The sequence below is a fragment of the Homo sapiens genome, chromosome 17, assembly GCF_000001405.40.
Source record: "Homo sapiens chromosome 17, GRCh38.p14 Primary Assembly".
Lineage (NCBI taxonomy): Eukaryota > Metazoa > Chordata > Mammalia > Primates > Hominidae > Homo > Homo sapiens.
The window spans coordinates 45,699,193-45,723,535 of NC_000017.11; the positions used below are offsets into that span (position 1 = coordinate 45,699,193).

The following is a 24,343-nucleotide window of genomic DNA, read 5'->3' on the forward strand; positions in this document are numbered from 1 at the left end:
CAGGCATGCACTACCATACCCAGCTTTTTTTTTTTTTTTTTTTTTTTTGGATTTTTCATAGAGACAGGGTTTCACCATTTTGGCCAGGCTGGTCTTGAACTCCTGACCTCAGGTGATCCGCCCACCTTGGCCTCCCAAAGTGCTAAGATTACAGGCATAAGCCACTGCGCCCAGCCTGGTCCTTCTATTTCATTTGCTCAACAGAAACATACAATTTGTGAGCACCCACCACATGTGAGAGGGGCTTGGACAAACAAGGTGGACCATCATGGTCCTTGTGAGAGCTCATAACGAGGAAGGGAAGAGGGAAGAGGATGCCAATTGATGTGTACAGGGTCCTCTGGAGCTGACAAATGGCCTTGACAAATACTATCTCCCTCCATCCCTGCACCCGTTCTGTAAAATAAGCAGGACAGACATGCTTATGCTCATTTCATAAATGAGAGAACTCAGCACTGGTTAACTTACTCAGGGTTCTACAGCTGGGAGAAGGCGGAGCTGGGATTCAAATCCAGTGCTGTTTCTGCTACATCAAGTACACACAGGAAAGGTACCCAGAGCTCAAGGGGAAGGTAGAATTTGGCAGAGTGATTAAGGGCTGGATTCCGGAGTCCGACTGTCTGGCTCCAAAGCCTGTCTCCATCTCGCTGTGTGTGAACCGTAGATGAGTTTCTTAACTCTCTATGCTTTAGCCCCTTCACCTGTAACATGTGAAGAATGGTGCCCACCTCCTAGGGTTGCATGAGGCTCACATAAGCTATAGTTCAGGCCTGGCCCAAAGTAAGCACTCTGAAAGGGATTCTGCCATTACCATTACATTTTGAGGTGGGTGGGTACAGGGAGGTGGTCCAGGCAGAAGCAATGAGCCATCTCAAGGGGAAGTGCAGGGACCCAGGCCACTGTCAGGACCTCCTTTCTGGGCCCAGACCCCCTAGATGCCCTGGACCTAGTCTTTTGCTTCCTCTCCTGTATCCTTGCCCATCATCCTCTTCCTCTCCCTTTCTTTGTTCCATCCATTTCCCCTTTCTTCCCTGCTGATCCTTGCTCAGTTCTGTTGAGCCCTGGAGGCTGAAGACTGTGCTAACACTTCCCCACCACCCCCATGTGACTATGGGCCAAGAACCAGCCTTCCAAATTGCTTTGACATCCACTGAGGAGCATGTTCCAGGAATATCAGCTGTTCAGCCGGTCTGCTAAAGGGCATGGTCAGAGCACCTGGCTTTTCCTGTGGGGAGAGGCTTCTGCAGGCAAACGCCTCTCCCTCCTCACTGCCCCTTATCCTGCTTCCCAGTCTGCATGGTCTCTTTTTTATTAAAGGAGACTGGGAGAGAGGCTGAGAGAGAGGGAGGGAAATATTAGAAATATTGTCACAACCTGCTCCCCGGCTTCACAGAAGGTAATCATCAGGAAAGAGACGAGAAGAGAACTGGGCTCTGTGGTTATCTCAGCTATTAGTAGGAGATTATTTGTTCATCAGCCTGTAAAAAGTTCCCAGCTTTGGCAAAGGTAATTACCAGCCTAGGTGGCTGGGCCAGGTCGGGACATGGGGGGAGGTGAAGCTGTCATTTCCAATTCACCAGCCTCCATTTGCTGTTTGGTCAAGAGGTTCAAATGAAAAGGTTAATTAAGAATCAGAGGATTTGCTCATCAGGTTAAGTCATGTATACACAGCACAAAGGGCATGTCTATACATGATAACTGCTTTTAAAGAAACCAATTCAATTCAGCATGCATTTGTTGACACACTCACCTCCCCCACCCCCAACACACTTACAACCTCTCGGGGTTAGGTGTGTGCTAGCCTCTTTGTTTGTTACAGGGGATATGATAGCCGGTGAGGTATGGGTACTTGCTTGGGATATATGGCTCCCTCTGCAATGGAGATCAGCCCACAAATGTGGGGGCTCCAGTCAAACTAGCTACTTGCCTACTGTGTGTCCCTTGGGCAAATAACTCTCTGTCTTGGAGGAGGTTAGAGTAGATCTGCAATTCCTAGTCATAATAGTCTGCGGATTGGGGAAAAGGAGATGCAATAGAACCATTCTGGACAACTTTTAAAAATATACTCCCTACAGGAATTCTGATAGTTGCCCTTCTCCCAATTTCATCCAAGTCTCTTGGTACATGTAGTGGATGCTGTAGAATGTCAACCTGGTCCCTCCTTCAGGATTGAGGTCCTCACTTCTCCAGTTGCAGCTAGGAGTATTGACAGATGATGTCTCTCAGCTAGGTCCCTCTCTAGGAATTGCCTCAGCCAAGGAGAGCCAAGTTCACTTCCTTGGGGCAGCCTGCATCAAACTGTGGATGTGGGGGTGTAAATACCCATTCCTTTTGCTTCAGGACAGGACAACTTAGAAGGCCATCCTAGCTCCAGAACTCCCGGTAGGCTTGGCTGGGACCCTTCATCCCAGCTCAGTTTCTCTCTCTGCCTAATCCCATTTCCTTCCCTCTCCTCCACACCCCCTTCCCTCTCCTCCCCACCCCAAGTTGTTGATGCCAAAAGCAACCTCAATAAATTTCCTGCATGAAAATATCCATTTCAGAGTCTGTTTCCCAGGAAACCCAACCCAAGGCAGCACACACAAAAAATTGAGACTCACCAGATCCAATGATCGGCAGGAGCCGTTCATCCATTCAGCAAACGAGTGTTTGGCACCTATGTTAACTCTAGCCCTAGAAGACGTCCTGGGTGAGGAAAGATTCCAAGTGGGCCTCAAAGAGTGGGCAGAGTGTGGAAGGAGGAGGAGAGGCAATGAATTTAGTGGAATCATTGTGTGTTTTGGAGTGCACACGTGGAGTGACCAACTAGATGTCTGAAATTATCCTGGAGTGCCGAATTACTAATTCCAGCTCTGGAGTGTCCCTATCTGACCTTTAGTGGGTGCAGGATTATTGCCTGTGGAAAATTCTGTCTTGCTTCTGCCATGTGTTATGTCCCAATGGCAACCTGTCCTCACACCCTACCTTTAAAGAGGTGATCTGTCTCCATCTCACAGCCAACATCAACAAGGGAAAGCTCCTACCTCCATGGTATTATTTGCAGCCTTTGTTCTGAACCTATCAATCGCTTCACCCTCTTGGAATCTTCTCTGAATTGTTCCTGAGGCCTCAGCTGCCAGCCTCTTGCCCTACCCCCTGACCAGGGCCTTGCAGGCTCTCCTTGACCCTGATGACTGATGTTTCCCTCCCAACCCTCAGCCTTTGACTCCCCACTCATTTATAATCCAGACACATTCTTCATCACATCTGTCTTCTGCCATGCCAGGGGTCTCCCCAGCCCAGCCTGTCCCAGGCTTTACCTCAGCACTGCCCCAGATGGTCAGGTGCTCTGCTGGCCTATAAGCCCTGTGACCTCAGACTGACTGTGTAGTGTTTAGAGGGGGATCTGGAGCTCTAAAAGGAGTTGGGGATTGTGACTATGACTGGGGCACATGACTGAGATGGTCCTCTTATTCTAATAACAGCAGGAAATGCTGTTAGGTCACCTCCTTTCCAGGGTTCTGCATCTTTACTCCCACCTGGCATAGTTTGGCTTCTGGCTTCCAGTCCAGTATCCCCAGGAAACAGGCAGACTTGAGCAGAGCTGAATCCTCAGTGAGGCACTGGAGACTTTGTCTTAAAGGAAATCAGGAAGGAGAGACACAAAATAGAAAACAGCCTGGGAAGAAGGGGTTCTGTCCATGGTTCTGAAAAAACAATCCCAGGAATACTGTGATTACTTGCTGACCTTCCACCTGAGGCTCAGCGCTCAGCTGTACATTGTGAGGAGCCCAAAGGACATGGGATCCCAGTTCCTGCCATAAAAGGTCCTTTAGGCAAGTTGGACACAATAAAACACCTACATGAGAACACACAGGAATAATTCTGAGCAGTCCAAATAATGATGGGTCTCAGAAAACTGCACATAGGAGAGTTCTGGCTGCCTTGATAAAGGGGACCTTGAGGCAAACCCCATTTTAGGCTCTAGGCCCTTTGAAGAAAAAACCACTTTGTAATGAAATGCTCTTTCTTTAGTCACCATACCATTCCCTGCAGTATTTAAAACCTAAAGGTCTTGGATATAAAACTAGTTTATCTAAATGCAGCAGTGCAGCAGTTTAAATTTAGGTGCTAATGCTATGTTTGAAATGTAAGCATACCATTGGCTTTTAGTTATGTCTTTAAAAAAGGATTGGTGAGTCATTTTTGTCTGGGTGCCCCAGCTCCAGGCCATATGGCCACGGTCTCTCAACCCTTGCTTGTCATAGTCACACAGAGCTGACCCTATAAGCAAGAGGCTCCAGAGCCTCACTTTCCAGGGCAGCCTGAGGCCCTGGGACATGTACACAGCAGCGTGTCTGCCACACCCACTGCTGATGGGAGTGCGCTCCCTCCCCAGGCGCTGCTCTGTCCTCAGCATTGTGAGGATCTTAGTATGCAGAGACAACGCATGGCCTCCCTGCTCTGCTCCCAGCAGGTGCCCTCCCTTGCCTTGCATGAGGAAAGGCTGCAACTTTGAGCTCCCTCTTTAGCTAGGGAGCCTCCCTTGCCTCCCTCACTGGGTCTCAGGAGGAAAGAGCTTGCGTACATCTTCATCCAGCCTCTGTATCTTTGTGGAGGTCTTCTCATTCACAGACAAAAGGAACTGCTTTAGGTCTATCTTCGGAATTGGAAAAATTAATATTCATAAGACAAATACCCTGATCCCTGACCAACCTGATGTCTGAGGGGCAGATCACACATCTATTGACCTCAGTTTCTCCTTTAAAACAAGAGGAGCTGACTGGATGATCAAACAGGTTTCTGCTGATTCATCCTAACAGTCTCTGAATCAGAAGGAGTGGGATGAGTCCTTCTTTACCTTAGATAAATATGTACCCTATCCATCTACCCCACTCCCTGAAGTCTTACCTCCCTGAGAGCCAATACTCAGGGAATTCTGTGTCCATGAGAACACTTCTTTTTTTCCTCTCATCTGGGACTGTTGCTCTCTATTCCATTTGATTTCCTACCTATGGAACTGGGGTAGAAAACATGGATCCTATAGGAACCCTTCACTTATCTCTCCTGAGACCTTCACTAGAGCCAGCCTCTCTTTTGAGCTCTGCTTTAATTTCTTCTAACTACCAAGAGGAAGGGCAGAGGGCATGTCCTGCTCCACAGCCTCACCACCTTGGGAAGATAAAAAAAGAGAAGAAAGAGTCGATTTCCACTCTTCCAGACAAATCCCTCATTTCAAAACCTTCAGGAAAAAACTGGGTGATCCCAGGAGGAGGCTGGCACACAGGGAAGGGTGTGGGAAAAAGACATAAACCTCAATTCAGTGGGTGGTAAAGATTACCCAAGAAGGTTTCTCAGAGAAGCTATCAGAACAGGCATTGAATGAGGATCTGTAGAGATATAGGGAGAAGACAGAGGCATACCTTGTAAAGACAGAAGCAGTAATTGGCAAGTCACTTGTATTTGGGGAGCGGGAGAGTTCCAGTGGGCTCCAGCGGGCTGCGGGAAGAGAGTGAGATGCATTTGGCGAGATGCAGGATTGTGGGGCGGGCAAATGATGAGGGCCTTGCATGCTGGAGTCTATTTTCTGCAATAGGAACAAGAAGGACGTTGATCCTGATGCCGGGTCTCTGTGGGTTGGGTGTTTGTCCTGGGACTCCCAAACTTGGGGAGAATGTAGGGCTCAGACATAAGTTTGTGTAAGTGTGTGAACATGCATGGGAAATGCAATGGATACAGAGTTTCATTTGAGCCATTCTGGCTTGGTCCAAATTTATTTTAATTTGGTCAAGAGTATGAAATCCACATTACTAGTCATTGGTAACTCAAGCCGAGGCTCCAGTGACTGTCAGGCTGCGTGATTGCTTCCCTGCAAGGACAAAGGAGAATGAAGCTTACATGCTTGGTAAATATTGGGGTGGGGAAGAGAAATGGATGTTTTTTCTTTTCAGTCCATCGATTTTGTTATTCTCAATTGCTGTCCCAGTGGACCCACATGCTCCACACATCCCTGAATATTCTCTCACATCTGGCACGACTTGGGACAGGAGCGGAAATGCTGGGAGGGGTATCTGGAGAAGAGTCTGGAATGCTTCTTGGAGGTTCAGCCACGTTTGAATGTGCAGCAGGACTGCCCCAGCCACTCAGGGCCAGTCATCTCTCACTCTTGCTTCCAGTCCCATTTTCTGCCCTACTTTCCAAATGTGATAGTTGCTTTTAGTAGAAATCCACAAGCATTTGCCTTCAGGGCCTCCAAGAGCTCCCCTTCCAGTCTCCCACTGGCTCCCCCTCCACCTGCAGCAACACAGGAGCCAAACCTGGGATTTACCACTGCTGCCCCATCTGCATCAGGGGCCAGTCTTGGGACCTGCAGGAAGGGTGGGGAAAGTATGTTGGGCCTGTTGACATAAGTGAGTCACTGTGAGTGGGAGCAGATGACAGGGAGAGTATGACTCAGTGAAGGGAATACAATGTGGGTGAACACAAGGGGTTTGCAAATTTTTACCTGCCCAAGGGAATGTGGAAACTCAGGGGACTTGGAGCAGGCCCAGCTGGTGCTTACTGATGCCATGTTGGCCCAATGGTGCTGCTGTTTTCAGGTTCTCTCTGGGTAACCAATACGTATGTGGTAGTCTTCCTGAACTTGTCTCTTCTGCATTCTTTGGTGACTCCTTGTATCTTGACCCCTTTAGTCCTTCTTTGCCAGGGAGGGTGGTGAACAGAGGCCTCAAGGAATCCTCAGCCAGTGTCCCAGCTACTGGGTCCACATCCATCAGAGGAGCATGGAGCTGGGACCAGTGTCTTGATCTGAGTTTCAGAACAGAGTCTGCCATAGGGAAAGGCTCTTAAGCATCTGACTTAGTCACTGAACATTGTGATGCTCTGCATAGGTCTCTCTTTTTGGAATATGGGAAGAGGGACAGTATCCTAGATGCTAAGGGCTGCTGCCTTCCTTCTTTGGCCAGCAGCTTGTTGGGAGCAGGAGAGTAAAGTCGTCCAAGCTATACAAGGAAGAAGAGCAGGGGAACGCTGCCACAAGCCTCATGACACTGGCAGCCACCTGCCTCAGGGCCTTTGCACATGCTCTCCCCCTTCCCTTCACATGGAAGGCTCCTCCCCATACACCTGCATGGCCAGTGTCCTCACCTCCTTTAGATCTTTGTTCAGATGTCACATTTTTGGTGAGGCTTCCCTGACCACAGTATTTAAAATGCCACCCTACCCACAGCATTTTCCGTCTTCCTTTCCTGCCTTATTTTTTCCCCATATGCCTTCTCACCAACTAATATACTGTTACTCATTTACTATGTTTATTTTATACCTCCTCCTATTAGAATGCAGGCTTCATGAGGATAGGCATTCAGTCTGTTTTGTTCATTGCAGTATCTCCAATCCCTAGAACAGTGCCTGGCACAAAGAAGGTTCCCATTAATCTTAGTTGAAGATTTAGTGAATTGACCAAGAATATTCTGAGTGCTAGTAGGAAAGGTTATATGCCCAGGCAGGGGTTACCCACTGCAGAGGATGGAGTGGACAAAGAAAGGCTCAGACTGGGATTCAGGGGAGCTGGGTGCAAGCCCCAGCCCTGGCCCTCTCCAGCAGCAAAGTGGAGATAAGCCAGCCCACTCTGCATCCTCTGGGTAATGGAAGTATCATCACTTTGTAAATTATAAAGAGTGGCCTGTATGGCTCTCATCCTGACTCCACTGTGGTGTATGGGCTGACCCTGAGTTGCAGTGTGATCAGATGGGGTTGGGGTTAGTAGAGAAGGTTTTGTGGAGGAAGTGCGTCTTGGGATGGGCTCTAGATATGCAGGGAACCGCACTGGCAAAGGCCCAGAGGAACAAGGAGTTTGGGGTGGGAGACAGGCAGGGCCTCTGTGGAGATTGTTCTGATGCTAATTCAGAGGCACCAGGGACTAGGGAAGCTTCTGCCTTTCGTGGCCACAATTCTCAGGCTAGTTGCCCGGGTGTGAGCTATAGTCTGCTCAAGCCGTGCTTGTTACAGGGAACTGCGACCCACTGCGCTGCCTTGAGTGAAGGGGTGTTGCTGATTGTCAAAGATGACAAACAGGCAGCCTCAAGGCTGTGGAATGGGCTTTTGGAGGCTGGAGCTGGATGAGCAGGGAGCCCTTCTCCTGGGCCCCGTCAGCCTACTCACTTTTCATAAGGTCCAACTTAGCGGCCACTGTCTTTTCCCCCTGTTTGGTTTCAGTCTCCATTCCTGACTATGGATTTCTGTGTGTCTCAATGTTCTCAAAAGAGAAAGCATTTCTAATGCCCTTGAATCAGCCTATGGATGGGAGAGTCACTTGCTCACCTCTCATCCATCTCCTGTAGCCTAGAGGGGACAAAGTCGCATGGTACATGACGGGAGGGCTTCCCTCTTCAGTGCCAGCAGAAAGGAGTATGGATCTAGGAAGGCAGTTGGGCAGGGAAGGCCAAATGGCTAGGACTCAGGCACAAGTCCTAAGACCATCCTGCAGACCAGGGCTCCCAGTGTGGATTCAGGGAGAAAAATAAAAGGGCTGTTTCCACAGTGACCCTGCCTGAACTTTAGGCTGTATCTTATTTTTTTAAATTTCTTTTTCTCTTTTCCCCCCTCATTCTTGCTGTCATCTTATAAGCTTTATCTTTGTGGTCTCTTCACTCCAGCCCGACTCACCCACTCACCAGTGCCTACTTCTGCTCATGTCCTCTCCCTGGCCAACTCATTTCCATTGATTCAAATCCTATCCATCCTTCCAAGCTCAGCTCTGCCCCATCTCCTGCCGGGGTACTGCCTTGATCACTCCAGCCCTTCCATCTCCCCTCCTCTCTTCCTCTCATTCTTATGTCTCTTCCTGGTTATTTTCAGCTTCCCTGACCCTTCATGTAAACTGTCTGGTGATAGATGGCCTTTGTAGGGTCGTCTTGTATTGCCACTTATTTCTGGTAATTTTTCATGCCTTGCTTTCCAATTGGTCAACAGGACAAACATCACACACCCCCTCAGGTCTTTCCTGGGCACATAAAGATCCTTGTAGACATGCACAGCCATTTGCCTTTGGGGCAAGAAGGCTTTAACCACCATCAGGTCAAATCTGAGAGATGAGGAAACAGAAGTCTAGAGAAGAGGAGTATTTTGCCCCAAATCACATAGTCAAGGTCAGCGTGGAATTCAGGTCTCTTGGCTCTTTACCCAGGCAAGAACTATGAGAAGCAGCTTTGGCTGTGAAGTTGGTACCATAGTGTTGCAAAGTACACCAGAGCCAAGGTGGCCAGTGGCAGTTGGGGAGGTCTCATGCATCAGAGAGTGAGTGGCTGCCCACCTGGGTGGATGCATCCCCTGCCTCCTTGCAGGGTCCCAGAGCCTCATATTCTGCCAGGAGCCATCTGTTCCTTTGGAAACTGCCATTTCCCCCACTCAGTTTCCTCTTTTAAAATGCAAACTCCTAAGAGATGGGCTCAAGGGCACAGGCTGGCAGGGAACTCTGGCTGGGTCCCCCTTGGAAGGAGAGGGGGAGTGGTGGCAGAGGAGCCTTACAACTTCACCGTGTCCACTGCCAAAGTGCGCATTTCCTGATTGGCAGGTGGACCAAATAAAAGCCAGCCCAGGGATCTGGGGAGAATAAATCTCAATGAAATGTTTTTTATCAGGGTTCTGCTGCTCTACAAGGAAGATGTGCAGGTTAAGCTGGACAAATAGCAGGCTGAGTGCGGCTGGGCTTTTCCCAGTCTCCAGGGAGGACTCAGGATTGAGCTGCAGGGCCTGGTGATCATCCCAGCCTCAAGGCAAGGGCACAGCTGCGATCCTGCTTGATCTCACCCTGCTTTGTCTGCTTCCTGTGGAGAGCTCCCGCCTTGAGAGTGGGAAGGAATGTGTGATCATCCCCATTGTACAGAAGGGAAGAGTGAGACCCACAGTGACTAAGTGAGTACAGAGAGAATGAGGAAGCAGAAAAGGAATTGGATTGGGGTCTGGGCTTCTGGTCCAGGCTCCACCCTAACCTGCTGTGTGATTTTGTCCAAACCTTTTATCTTTTCTGGGTTTCTTCACTCGAGTGTGAACTTTGGACCAGATCAGTGACTTCCAGATCACTTTTCCTAACCACAATGGGCACATGTTAGCCCTTTCCATGGGCCCGGGCCACTTCCAGTACCCCTATAGGGGCTGTAATGCAAACCCTTATTCCTTTTCCAGAAAGATCATCAGAACAGAGAACCCTGAGAATTGCATTGCAGGGATACCCTTGCCTCTGTTCTAATTTATATAACAAATTCCAAAGCCTTTGCACTCAGTGTTTGGGAATGAATGACCTACAGGGCACCTGGGTCACTGTCTTGAGAATCTTTAGCTTTCCTGGGTTCCTCACTGAGGTGCTAAGATGCCAGGATCCTGGGCATCTGAGTGTACCCTGAGGTCTGGTCTCATCCACTGAGGCAGGAGGCAGAGCTGGGCAAGCCTGGGTGTCCAGCCTCCATGCCCCTCACTGATCAGGGGTCACTGTGGCCCCTCACTCTACCTGCCGCACCTTTCCCAGCAGATGGTAGCTGGGAAAGCAAGTCAAATGCCTGTTTCCTCCGGTGGACTTGGGCAGATCATGCTCTGAGTGCTCCCCAGCCCTTTTCCCTGGATCTCTGAGCTGGCTTTCTCCAAATCTCCACCTCCCTTTCTCTGCGTCTCCGGTGAATACTGCCACACAGGGAGCCTGCTTTACCAAGCCTTACTTGAGTCTTGAGATGCTAATAGATCCCCTGGGAATGGCAGGCTGGAGTGGAACCTGGCATGGGGAAGACAGACTGCGCCAGCTCCCACCAGAGCACGGAGCACTGCAGCTCTGGCACCACTGAGACCCCTGATCAAGGCCATTTCTACCTCTAGGTGGACAAGCCAGGCTCAGGGGCACTGCTGGATTGCCCTGTGGGGGCCTCTAGGCAGCACAAAGGGCCTCCCTGCTGAGCTCAGGCTGGGAATTCTTCTTGCCCTAGGCCCAAACCAGCACTGATTTCAGTCTGAATGTGGTGGCTGCAGTGCAGGGCCCACCGTTCTGATGGAACCTAAAGTCAGAGGAAGAAGGAAGAAAATGACCACTGATTAGTACCTGAGGAGGACAGTGACCTCTTCAGGGATCATCTCATTCATTCCTTACCTCCCAACGGCACTGTGCTGCAGGCAGTACTATTCTATTTACAGGCACAGAGACTGCAACTTGGGGAGGCCAAGCAGTTGGCCCAGGGTCACACAGCCGGCCAGAGGCAGAGCAGGGATTCTGCCAGGCCTATTGCTCTTCCCACTTCACCATATCAGGGGCCTAAACCACAGTAAAGAAAGCCAGGAATTGGAACCCCATTGGTTGGTGGCCCTGTTTCTTCCTTCCTTTGCCCGGGGTGGGTGACGATGCTCTTTCTGCACCACTGCACAACTTGTCATCCCTTCTAAGATCCCAGCCAGGGCAATGCCTACTGTTCAAGAAAGAGAACCCTCATCTCCCACCAGCAGAAATCAATAATTTATGAAATACTGCTTTAGCCAGAGCAGAGAGTGATATATTATAATGCTTCTTAAAATCCAATATTAACAAGTTTTCTAAAGGGTGAAAATATTTGAATTAGGGGAAATGAATGTTTTACAAGCCAGCAGGGGAGCCATCCCCTGAGATGGGCAGGGGGATGGCCGGGGAGGTGGGAGAGCATTGGACTGGGGCTGGGTCAACTGTCCTGAGGCTTTAAGCCAGAAGCCACCATAACTCAAAAGGGATGTGCCCTGGGCAGAGTGGGTGCAGAATCGCATTCCGCAAAGGGTCCCAAAGGGCGTTTATGCTAGATGCCTGCTGGGCAATGGCCAGGGGTGTCGAAGTCTAAGACTATTGTGGTCTTTAAATTCTGCCTATTGGGACCTGCCCCTTTAGAGCAGCTGGTCCTCCAGGCCTTTCTGCCCAGGGGGCTGCAGGCAGGATCACCCTCTGTGCTCAACTATGTTATTGTTCAGCAAATATTTACTGTCCCCTCCTCACTGGGCAGCTTGAGTGGACTGCCTGATGATCCTACAGACCTTGGCTTGGGCTGATGGAATGTGGAGGGCAGGCATATGACTAAGGGCTCCTCCAAGCAGAGGCCTTGAGTGAGTTCATGTGGAAAGCTGGGGCTCTTGGGCTCCAGTCCTGCACTCTGAGAAGAGGCTGTGCCCCAAGGAAGTCACTGTTCCTCACACCTGGATCTGGGATGAGACACCCATGGGGCCAAGCCAGGAGCAGTCACCACAGCCAACCTGCAGGCTTATGAGCTCATTGGTGTAAGACACTGAGATGTAGAGTTGTTTGTCATAAGGCATCGTCACAGAAAAGTCAGCACACCCTCCCCTCCCCACCACCTCCATGCCCTGTTGGAAAAGCATCTCCTGGCCGCTTATCCAGGCACTTTGTTGTCAAATTCATGCCCTTTGAAGGGTACCTGCTTCCCTGCCAGACATGCTCCCCGCAAGGAGAGCAGAACAAGCTCTCCAACTTCTTCCATTGTGAAAGCCCATTTATAGCATCAAATGTTGTCTCTGCCCCCTAAGGTTCAGTGGCTATATTTTTGTAGCCATTGATTGGGACTAGGTGTGGGGAGGAGCACAGTGAGAATAGGCAACTATGAATCAGTTACCCTTTAAAATTGATTATGCTTTAATGTATATTTTATCCAACAGAACAACAGTTTACAAATATTTGAAAAGCAGTATATGAACATAAAAGGGGTAGTGTTTATTCCCTCACTGCTGCTTACCCCTCAGATTCATGGACTCCTTGCAATCTGAGACTCATAGGGACTGCGGAAAGAGAGTGAATTTTGTTGTGAGATCGATTACTTCCCAGCCACTTCAACTGCCTGGATCTCAGATCTCAGTTTCTTCTTCTGTAAAATAAGCACATCTCTGCTGCAGGGTTTTCTGAAGTATTAAGGCGAGCACAGGAATGGTAATATACATGGCAGACATGGGATATACTCAACAATCACATCTTTTTAATTTTGTCTCTGCTGTTTATTCCGCCCTGTGACCTTGGGCCAGATTTGGAGATGACTCTCAGCCTTAGTTCCTTCCTCTGCAAAATGAGGAGCATCATACCTATCTCAGGGGAGACACAGAGTCCTGAACGAGAATGCACCTGGAGCACAGTCAGTGCTGAAATAATTTTCTCCGTCCTTTCTTCTCTGCCAGCCCCTCCTGTCTTCCATGGCCACATGCAAGGCACAGCTTCTCCAAACAGCCTTCCCAAGGCCCCCACTCCACTCAGGAGTCTCCTTTAGGACAAAGCTCCTCTCCAGAAGTGCATTCGTCACAAGCTAAACACCCAACAGCTGATATCAGTAACAGAGGACCGAATCGCAGATTAATTAAAGATCCTGTTTACTCGCCTGCCTCCACCGTGTCATGTGCTCCTTCAACCTACAGCCCTGCACCTTAATTGAAGAGTGTGCAGCAGTTAGGGACAGGCTGGACTTCTCAAACTTCTGCCAGTTTCACACTTGCTTGCATTACCCGGGACAGGCCGAGCCAGCCTGTCCACACCTGGTGGTTTAAAGTGTGGCCAGGCTCTCACCTAAGCCACTTGATTAGTCTTCACAGTGGAATTAGAAATAGAATCCCACCAAATCAGGGCAAAACAAGGCAGGAAGAGTATTTGGTGAAAGCAGGGACCACACCTTTTTTTAAATTTTTTTTCCAAGCACCAATCTTGTATTTTTCTTGCCAATAACTAGGCCACAGTGACCTCCTGCTTCAGTCTCCTGGGGCCAGGACAGGTACTCCTCACCTCTGAGCCCTTGACTGTATCCTCTTGCCTCAGACTTTGCTCTCTGCTCTGAGGACAGTGGCAGGATAGTAATATGAGTAATAGTTAGGACCGGCTGAGCACTCAGTGAGGCACTTAAAGGCAGTTCTACGTGTAGTGGTGAAGAGCACCAGTTCTGAAAAGAAGTTGGGCAAGGCATGGCAGCTCGTGCTTGTAATCCCAGCATTTTGGGAGGCCAAGGCTGGAGGATTGCTTGAGCTCAGGAGTTTGAGACCAGTCTGGGCAACATGATGAGACCCCCATCTCTGAAAAAAAAAAAAGTAGCCAGGCATGGTGGTATTCGACTGTGGTCCCAGCTCCTTGGAAGTCTGAGGTGGGAAGATTGCTTGAACCCGGGAGATCAAGGCTGCAGTGAGCTCTGTTAGCAACACTGTACTCCAGCCTGGGTGACAGAGAGAGACCCAGTTAAAAAAAAAAAAAAGAGAGAAGATGTACAAATGGCCAAAAAGTACATGCAAAAATGCTCTCAACATCACTAATCATCAGGGAAATGCAAATGAAAACTGCTGTGAGATATCACCTCACACCTGTTAGAATGGCTATTATCAAAAAGATGAAAGATAACAAGTGCTGGAGAGGGTGTGGAGAAAAGTGAACCCAGGTAAACTGTTGGTGGGAATGTAAATTAGTACAGCCATTATGTAAAACAGTATGGAAGTTCCTCAAAAAATTAAAAATAGAACTCTCATATTACCCAGCAACCCCACTACTGGGTATATCCAAAGGAAATCAAATTAGTATGGCAGAGGTATTTACACTACCATATTTATTGCAGCACTGTTCACAATAGCCAAGATATGGAATCAACCCAAGCATCTATCCATGAATGAATGGATAAAGAAAATGTGCCTTATAGACACACTGGAACATTATACAGCCTTTTAAAAGAAGGAAATCGTGTCATTGGCAACAACATGGATAAACGTTATGTTAAGTGAAATAAACCAGGCACGGAAAGAAAATGCTGCATGATCACACTTATATGTGGAATCATAAAACGCTAAACTCATAGAAGTAGAGAGTCGAATAGTTGTTACCAGGGACTGGCCAGGGGCGGGGGCCAGGTGCAGAGAGGTTGGGGAGATATTCGTCAAAGAATACAAAATTTCTGTAGATATGAGGAATAAATTCAAGAGATGTATTGTACCACTCGGTGATTATAGTTAATAACCATGTATTGCATTCTTGAAAATTGCTGAAAGTAGATTTTGAGTGTTCTTACCACAAAAAAGGGTAAGTATGTAAAGTAATGCATATGTTGATTAGCTTAATTTAGCCATTCCACATTGTATACATATTTCGAACAACATATTTTATGAAGTAAATGCGTACACTCTTTATCTATTAGAAATATAAATTAAGAAAAAAAAAAGAAAAAGCATACCAGTTCTGATTTTGGGTCTGGTCTCTGGCTGTGTGACCCTGAACACATGACCTAATCTCTCTAAGTCTCAGTTAGGAAACTCATCAGTAAACCAGGGCTGTCACAGCACCAGCTGGCAGGGCTGTCATGGGGACTAAAGGAAGAAATGCTTGTAGAGTGATCGGTGCAGTGACTGGCGCATATGAAGAACCCAGTAAATATTAGACATCATTATATTTTGATAAGATGACTTCTGCCAGTGACCCTGTGGAATAGCTGATCTTATCCCCTGTTACAAGTGAGGAAACACAGACTGGGGAAGTTAAGTAACTTGCCCAAGGTCACACGGCAAATAAGAGGCACCGAGCCCAGCTTTGCGTGCTCATGACCATAGGAAGACACTCTGCAAATGAAGAGATAAATGCCTGCCTGGATGTCCACCACGGAGCCCTATCTGTGTTAGGACATTCTTGCATTTCCATAAAGAAATACCTGAAAAAGAAAAAACAAACAAAAAACCCCAAACAACAAAGTTTAACAAAAGAAAAAGAAATAGGGAAAAAAGTAAAAAATGAAATACCTGGGGCTGGTTAATCTATAGAGAAAAGAGGCCTAATTGGCTCATGGTTCCACGGGCTGTACAGAAAGGATGGTGCCGGCATCTGCTCAGCTTCTGGGACGCCTCAGGAAGCTTCCAATCATGGTAGAAGGCAAAGGGGCAGCTGGCATATTACATAGCCAGAGCAGGGGCAAGGGGCAGGGGAGATGCCACACACTTTTAACCAGATCTTGAGAGAACTCAGTCACCATCACAAGGACAGCACCAAGACATTCATGAGGGATCCACTCCCATGACCCAAACACCTCTCAGCAGGCCCCACCTCCAACACTGGGGATTGCATTTCAATATGAGATTTGGAGAGAACAAACATTCAACCTATAGCACCGTCTCGTGCCTACTGCCTTAAGTGAGTGGCAGAGAGTGGACTGAGGCCTTGGGGAAAGCAGTGAAAAGACTGGGATCAGAGCCACACCCCTCAGGGTTGGCGACCTGCTCTGAGCTTCACTGACTTTAGGACTTTGCAGCCTGAGTTCCCTTGTCTGCACAGTGGGTATGAATGATGCCTACCTGTGGTAAGGATTATGTGAACGCTGGGTGCAAAGCAACACAGCACCATTGTTTAGCAATGTATATGTGGCACATAGTAGATGCTCAAGAAATGTGAACTCCTCTTTCTTCTCCCCTTAAGGTTTTGAAGTTGGGGGGTCCCTCAGTCACCCCAACACCACCCAGGCTGCCTCCTACTCTTCTGAAATGCCAGCCCATCAATCCTGGGCACTTCTGTGGGGCCTTTGGTCTGTGTTCAGCCATCCTGCAGCACAGGCTTGACTGTGGGTGACACTCTGCCAGCTCTTTTCTAGTTCTCTGGGTGACCTTGGTGAATCACTTCTTTTCTATGGGACTCAGTTTCCCTACCTGCCCATAAGTGGCTTGCCCTGGTTCAAGACCCCAGACAGCACCTCTTGGATAGGCTACATCAGCATCATCTGGAAAAATATTTAAAATGCTGAATCCTTGACCCCACTTTCTGGAGGCTCTGCTTCAGTGGATGGGATGGGCCCTGGGAACCTGTATTTTTAATGTTTGGGAACCATCAGCCTGGTCTCTCAGCTCCCCCGCAGTTCCTGTAGGCTGCTCTTCCAAGTGAGGACCATGCGGCTTGCCTTTGTGTGCTCCCCTCCCTTGAGTGGCATGCTGCACCCCAGCCTGAGCTAGGTGGTCCCAGCAAGGGATTAGGGAATGCCGATGGGAAGGAGGAATGACTTTCCAAGCCCAACAGGAATCTTGCCAGATGCCTCGGGACAATCATAAGCTCCATGGGACCTGTTCCCATTTTCTACTAGTGATGTGGCACTTCTCAGCTGGGAAAATGCACGCTGATGTGGGTGGATTTCCTTCTCCTTTTGCCCCCAGACCTGCCTCCACACACACGGGTGTGAGCATACACACACACACTAACATTCACACACACACCAAGGAATCTGATCTGAGGGATTGTCCTGGCCTTGGCCTTGTCTGCTCTTTGAAACAGCCGGATGTATGGAAGTTGCTGGGGGGTGGGGTGGGAGGAGGGGGCAGCTTAACTGTCTCATTTGTTTCAGTGGCTGTGGCTTCATCTACCCGCCAGCGGATGTTGGAGGGGGTCTCTTCCAGAGGGTAGTGGTGAAGCCCAGGAGGGTTCCAGGAACTCCCTCCATGGGAAATGCATGCTTTGTTTGTTTGTTTGTTTTGTTTGTTTGTTTTTAGAAGGAGTCTCACTCTGTCGCACAGGCTGGAGAGCAGTGGCGTGATCTCGGCTCACTGCAACCTCAGCTTCCCAGGTTCAAGCGATTCTCCTGCCTCAGCCTCCCAAGTAGCTGAGACTACAGGCAAGAGCCATCACACCCGGCTAATTTTTGTATTTTTAGTAGAGATGGGGTTTTACCATGTTGGCGAGGCTGGTCTCGAACTCCTGACCTCAAGTGATCCGCCCGCCTCGGCCTCCCGAAGTGCTGAAATTATAGGCCACTGCGCCTGGCCGGTTTTTTTTCGAGAGTGGTGGGGATGGATCATCAGAGTGGGCTTTGAAATGAGGCCAGCAGCAAAGAATCAACAAGAAATGAGGATCCACCGTGCCAGGAAAGCTCAGGGAGACTGCAGGAAGAACTGGGTTTTGTTGCTTTTAAATGATTTCATTTGTTAGAACAAAATCTAAAACCTACAAAAGGGTATCCTGTGGAAAGTGTCCTTTTCTTTCCAGACACACAGCCCCACCCCACATTAGCCACCGTTCCACTTTCTCACAGATCCTTTCAGAGACAGCCTGTGTCGATAAATGCATATGTGTGAAAATTACTTTTATTTTCCTGGAACAGGTAACACAGTTACACACCATGCATATACTTTGTGGGTTTTTTTTTTTTGGCTCCTTGATTTTTTCACTTATCCTGAAGATCTTTCAGCACACAGAGAGAGTTGCAACAGTTTTTATTTATTTATTTATTTAGAGACAGGGTCTCACCCTGTTGCCCAGGCTGGAGTGCAATGGCGCGATCTCGGCTCACTGCAATCTCTGCCTCCTGGGCTCACACGATCCTCCTGCTTCAGTTTCCTGAGTAGCTGGGACTACAGGCATGAGCCACCACACCCAGCTAATTTTTGTATATATATATATACATATATATATATACACATATACATATATATATACATATACATATATATGTGTGTATATATATATGTATATATGTGTATATATATATATATGTATATATGTATATATATATATGTATATATGTATATATATATATATATATATATTTTTTTTTTTTTTTTGTAGAGATGGGGTTTTGCCATGTTGCTCAGGTTGGTCTCAAACTCCTGAGCTCAAGCGATCTGTCCATCTCGGCCTCCCAAAGTGCTGGGATTACAGGCGTGAGCCATTGCACCTAGCCTAGTAGCCACAGTTTTTAAACAGTTGCTTGTATTCTATTTTACAGATAATTCATTTAGTCAATTCCTCCCTTAGCCATTTATCTTGTTTTTCAAGAGATGCTTCAATACAACAGCCCTGCATATACACCCTTTTACATTTAATCTGTGGGATAAATAACTAGGAGGAGAATTTCTGGGTCAGAGGGCATATACATGTTTAATTCTGATAGAGCCAACTTACCTTCTTCAGAGATTGTACTAATTTACACTCTCACCAGCAATGTATGAGGATATGTTACTTTGCTGATTTGACAGGTGAAAAAACACTATCCCCTTGTAGCATAATTTGCATTTCTTTTATGAGTGAGGTTGAACGTTTTTTCACCTGTTTAAAAACCACTAGTTCTTCTTTGTGAACTCTTCTTCTCCTTCTCCTCCTTCTCCTCCTCCTCATTCTCCTCTTCCTTCTCCTCCTCCTCCTCTGCCTCCTTCTTCTTCTTCTTTTTTGCTTCTTGTGAGGTTTTTCCTTTTTTTTTTTTTTTTTTAAGACAGGGTCTCACTCTATTGCCCAGGCTGGAGTGCAGTGGCATGATCTCAGCTCACTGCAACCTCTGCCTCCCAGGCTCAAGCAATCCTCCCACCTCAGCCTCCTGAGTAGCTGGGACTACAGACAGTGCCACCAAACCTGGCTAATTTTTGTATTTTTTGTAGAGACAGGGTTTTGCCATGTTGCCCAGGCTGGTCTCAGACTCCTAGGCTCAAGCAATCCACCCACCTTGGCCTCCCAAAGTGCTAGGATTATAGGCATGAGCCACCATACCACACTGTGAACTGTTCTTATGGCTCTGGAGGAATCTTCATATATATATATATAAAACTAAACCCTTTCCCTGTTCAAAGAGATGCCAGTTTGTTGTTTGCTTATGATATTTTTCCCCTGGAGGAAATATGACTTTTATATAGTCAAATTTGTCAACTTTTTCTTTATGCTTTCTAGGTTTTGTACCCTATTTTTTAAAGGTCTTTCCATCTCCATTTAATTTTTAAAATCTCTCGGTAGTATTTTTATGACTCATTTATATATTTAAGACTTTAAAGCATCTGAGATTTAGATAAGGTACAATGTTTGGGCAAGTGCTTCGTATGTTTTCAAGTATTTTTTCTTTAATGCCAATTAGTTACGAAATTCAGCCCCATAAAAATTCTTTGGGGCATGCAAATGAGATTGCATTTGCTCTAGTTTTTGGGTAAAGAGAGGCTTTTTTTAGAGCAACTTTGTTTTCCAGATAACTACTGAGTTGTTCAATTTTTAAAATACGTAATCCATCGTATCCCCAGTGATTTGAAACACATTCTTTACCACATACCAGATTGGTGTTTCTTTCTGGTTTCATTCTATACTTTTTTTTTCTGTTCCATTGATCTATCTACTCGTGTTGTTTTAATTGCCATTTCTTTATACTGTTTTAAATATCTGGTAGGTCTGGGCCCCCTCACTATTCTTTTTTAGAATATGCCTATTCTTGCTTGGTTATTTTTCTCTATAAACTTTAGAATGGGCTTTACTAATTCCAAAAAGGAAGAACCGGTACAGCTGGTGTGGGTGAGCAGGGGATGCCACCTGCCTCCTCTGGTCCTGGTATGCAGAGTCCAGCAGAAAGAATGATGTCATGCTGCACAGTTACAGGTGGCTCAGGAATGTTCTCCTTTCTCTCCTGCTTAATCAAGGAGGGCTTCAGTGGAAAAGGCAGAGAGGGGAAGAAGAAGCAAGAGAAAAAGGAGAGGTGGAAGAGAATTTTGAAGCAAGGAAGAAGAGGCTTCCTGGCAGAAAGGACTGAAGACACTCTGGGGGAGAAGAGACAGAGAGAGATGAAGCATCAGAAATCAAGGCTGCAGGGAGGGTTCCTTGCGGAGATTGGAAAATGGTGGGTGGGAGAGGAGGTGGAGGCCAGCTGGAAGGCTTGAGCCTAAGGCAGGTTGGGGGTGGCCTGGAACTGATGGAAGATGTGGTTAGAGGGAGTCAGTCTGCCTCTGAGTCATGCGCATAGGACTTCAGTCAGCAAGCTGCCCTGGCTGAGTGGAAGACAGACAGAAATGGAATGAAAGCCAGAAACTCCAACTGTCTTCTCAGGCTGGCCACCAGAGGTGCAGTCTCATGTTCCTTCTGGTTACAAATGATCCCTACCTCCCAGGAAACCACAGTGTGGGGTTTTGAATAGACTGCTGTGCATTTACTCATGGAGAGGAGTCGGAAGCTAATTTTGAGAGTGTATGAAGTAGTTTTACATCCTGGGCTACAACAGAAGCATATCCTGGCACAGGGGTGTTGTGGCTGTGTTTCATTAGGAGCTGTAATTCTCCAGACCAAAGAAAGTGGCAGGGAGCTCAGCCCTGGGAACAGTGGGCACAGAGTCAGGGGATGCCCAGGATAGGGGCGATGCTGGCACTGCGGAAGGAAGCTAGGCCTGCAGGAGCCCGAGTTTGGGCCACATTCAGCCTTGTCAGGGTTGCAAGAAAGGGTGGATGATGAGTGCACGGGCAAAAATGGGCCTGCGGGTTCTCTGTCAAGAGCTTCACTCGCTTCCAGCTAGAGCCCCTGGCAAATGACTTCTCACACCAGGAAGACACCCCTGTGGGAAGACACTCCCAGACCCAGCAGGCCCACGTGCTCCGCAAACGGACCCTGTGCCACAGTTTTTCTCTGCTGCAGTGCCCGGCTTCAGAGCCCCCGTACAGGGTGGCTGGGAAGACCTCTTCCCTGTGCCCCCGCTCAAGCTGGCTCTTCTCTCTGCTGTCTTCTGGGCTGGGCTGACCGGGAAACAGGATACTGCTTTGCCTGCCCTATTGGCCTAAAAACGTTTCCTTCCTCTGCAATTAGAATCATGGAATATCACCGGATCCAATTCCCTCTGAAATTTCTCCCTGAAATTTCAAAGCTCAGAAAGGGCACCCGAGGGTCCCACAGCCACACGAAGTTCTAGGTGTGACCTGCGTCAAAGAACCAAATTTCAACAAGTTGAGTTTAGTAAGTTTAATAATAAGGCCCAATGACACTGTCATCTAATTGACTTTTATTAGGGATTTATGAATCAGGCAGTATTCCATCTAGGAAATGTCTAGAAAGGTGCTCCACCCCATTGGCAGAACAGTTGTTTGAGATTTGTTGTTGTTATTTTGCTTTGTTTTGAGACAGGGCCTCACTCTGTCACCCAGGATGAAGTGCAGTGGCACAATTATGCCTCACTACAGCAGCCTCGAACTCCTGGGCTCAAGTGATCCTCCCACCTCAGCCTCCTGAGTAGCTGAGACTATAGGCGCACATCACCATGCCCAGCCAATTTTAAATTTTTTTCTTTTATAGAGCCAGGGTCTCACTACATTACCTAGGCTAGTCTCAAAACTCCTGGCTTCAAGCAATCTTCCTGCCTTGGCTTCTCAACGTGCTGGGATTACAGGCATGAGCCACTGCACCTGGCCAAGGACAGTTGGTTTTTGTATGGTAACTTGAGCAGGAACAAGAAAACAGCATAGTACAAAAAAGAAGATTGGTTAACATTAGGTTACTTCAGGTTACTTTCCTCGTAAGGGTTAATGCAGAGACTTTCTTCTTCAGCCAACTAAAACTGGCCTGTTTGGGGATTTGGCTACCATCTCTCTCCTGATTTCTTGGAAGGTCAGATCTCATAAGTAAACAACTTAGGTTTCGGTTTGGTCATGTAACCTTAGCATGAGTGACTCCATTTTGGGTTGAGCTATTAGAGCCTAGTGCAGGAGCTTAGTCCAAATCAATGCCCTCCCATACATTTTATTTAACACCAGAATCCAGGTCATTGGCTTCTAGCCACTGGTCTGTCACCTAGTCTAGGTCTCCTCCTGTGTACCACAGGGCACATTCAGTATCCCACCAGGGTGTGGAAGTCGTCTTCCTTCCAGAGAGTCAGGAAACCTTGCTTTTAATGAGCTCAGGGGCCAGCATCTTGAGGGCCTGCGTTTATTTTCAGTTAGAGCGGATGGAATGTTGTTTGTGGTTTGCTTTTTTAATACAAAATGGGCTGTGGAAATGAAGCTGCCTATACAACTCTGTAGGGAGCTGGCCGGCTTTAGCAGAAAATGTTCTTGCCGGGGACCCGAGACTTAAGCTCTATCTGGAAGTTCCTTCCCTGCTCTTGGCCTCAATTTCCATTCTGTAGATGGAGAAGGTTGGATTGAGGAGTGTCTGAAGGCCCTTCTGGCTCTGACTTGCTTTGCTTTTGTGAAAGGGCTATAAGGCCCTTGTCACCGTCCCCAGCACCACAGTGGAGACGGGGTGAGACCCTCCAAAGTCTTTTCCCACAGATGGAGTTGGCATGATTTGTATGAAGCACTCTCAGGCCTCCCCAGGGGGGCCACTCCTGTGCCTTCTGCTCAGCAGGTCTTCATGGGGTGGGGCTGACAGTCTACTCTCCTGGCACTTCACACACAGCTCATCTTTAGAAGGACAGTGGCTTTAGACAGTCTCCCTGGGACCCAGCCTGAGGCCACTGTCCAGCAGGGGGAGAGACAGCCCAGAGATGGAAGCAGCCGGGAGAGCAAAACACTCCTCACCACCAGGCTGGCCCAGCTGGGCTCTTCCTGGCCCAGCGCTGCCCTCCATCGTCCGTGTAGCGGTGGAGCCCCCAGTAAAAGCACTTGCTTTCAAAGTGCCTCAGAGGGAAAAATACAACACTTCACGACATTAGAAACGTGAGAATGGTCACAAGTACATGAAAGCCGTGATGTAAGTCGTGAAATAAAAGTCCAAGTTCTATATGTGTTGAAATAGTATTTAAAAAAGAAAAAACCAGCCAGGCGTGGTGGCTCACACCTGTAATCCCAGCCCTTTGGGAGGCAGAGGCAGGAGGATCGCTTGAACCCAGGAGTTCAAGACCAGCCTGGGCAGCATGTGAGACCCCATCTCTACAACACAATTTAAAAATCAGCCAGGCGTGGTGGCGTGCACATGTGGTCCCAGCTGTTCAGGAGGTTGAAGTGGGAGAATTGCTTGAGCCTGGGAGTTCCAGGCTGCAGTAAGCCATGATTGTGCCACTGCACTCCAGCCTGGGTGACAGAGTGAAAACTGTCTCATGAAAAAATAAAAAGGAAAAAACCAAATTAGGAAAAACTGTAACCCTGCAGCAGCGTAAAACAGGTGACAATGACACTTCTATTACATCACCTGTGACAGACCCCTTATCCTTCATGGATTTTGGTTCATGCCAGTGTGTTGTAGAGTTTTGCATCTGACTCCCTCTCAGTAATCAGCTGGGGATTTTCCTTGGTGTATTAGTTAGTATAAGCCAGGCTGTTGTCACAAACCACCTAACAAAAACTCAGAAGATAGAAGTTGAATTCTCTTTCCTCTAATCAGGTGGATATTTCAAGTCAGTGGGTGACTTCACTCACACAGAAGAACAGGGATCCAGATTCCTTCTGTGGTGTGGCTCTGTTGACCCCTAGTTTAGGTGTCCATGGAGGCATACCCGCTGTCTTAGGGCTTATCTTAGTCCATTCATGCTGCTGTACAAAAATACCTTAGACTGGGTAGCTTATAAACAACAGAAATTTATTGCTCACAGTTCTAGAAGCTGGGAAGTTCAAGATCAAGGTGGCAGCAGATTCGGTGCCTGGTAAGGTCTCACTCTCCGCCTCATAGATGGCACCTTCTCGCTGGCTTTGCATGGTGGAATGGTGGAAG

The 24,343-nt window shown here is 47.9% G+C and overlaps 1 protein-coding gene across 2 annotated transcripts in view, besides 2 other annotated features; it reads left to right on the forward strand.

The window, feature by feature from the left end:
• LINC02210-CRHR1 (LINC02210-CRHR1 readthrough) overlaps nt 1-24,343 on the forward strand; it is a 215,483-nt gene that overhangs the window by 78,847 nt on the left and 112,293 nt on the right. The gene's annotated exons all lie outside the window — the stretch shown is intronic.
• Nucleotides 5,686-6,885: an enhancer, noted in NCBI's record as "P300/CBP strongly-dependent group 1 enhancer chr17:43782244-43783443 (GRCh37/hg19 assembly coordinates)". NCBI's record gives its function as "activates an origin of replication core promoter dependent on BRD2, BRD4, P300/CBP, MED14 and CDK7 cofactors, with strong dependence on P300/CBP, by STARR-seq in HCT116 cells {active_cell/tissue: HCT116}" and the evidence as "EXISTENCE:reporter gene assay evidence [ECO:0000049][PMID:35650434]".
• Nucleotides 20,611-20,905: an enhancer, noted in NCBI's record as "tiled region #9533; HepG2 Activating DNase unmatched - State 20:ReprD, and K562 Activating DNase unmatched - State 20:ReprD". NCBI's record gives its function as "activates a minimal TATA promoter and a strong SV40 promoter by Sharpr-MPRA in HepG2 and K562 cells {active_cell/tissue: HepG2 | K562}" and the evidence as "EXISTENCE:reporter gene assay evidence [ECO:0000049][PMID:27701403]".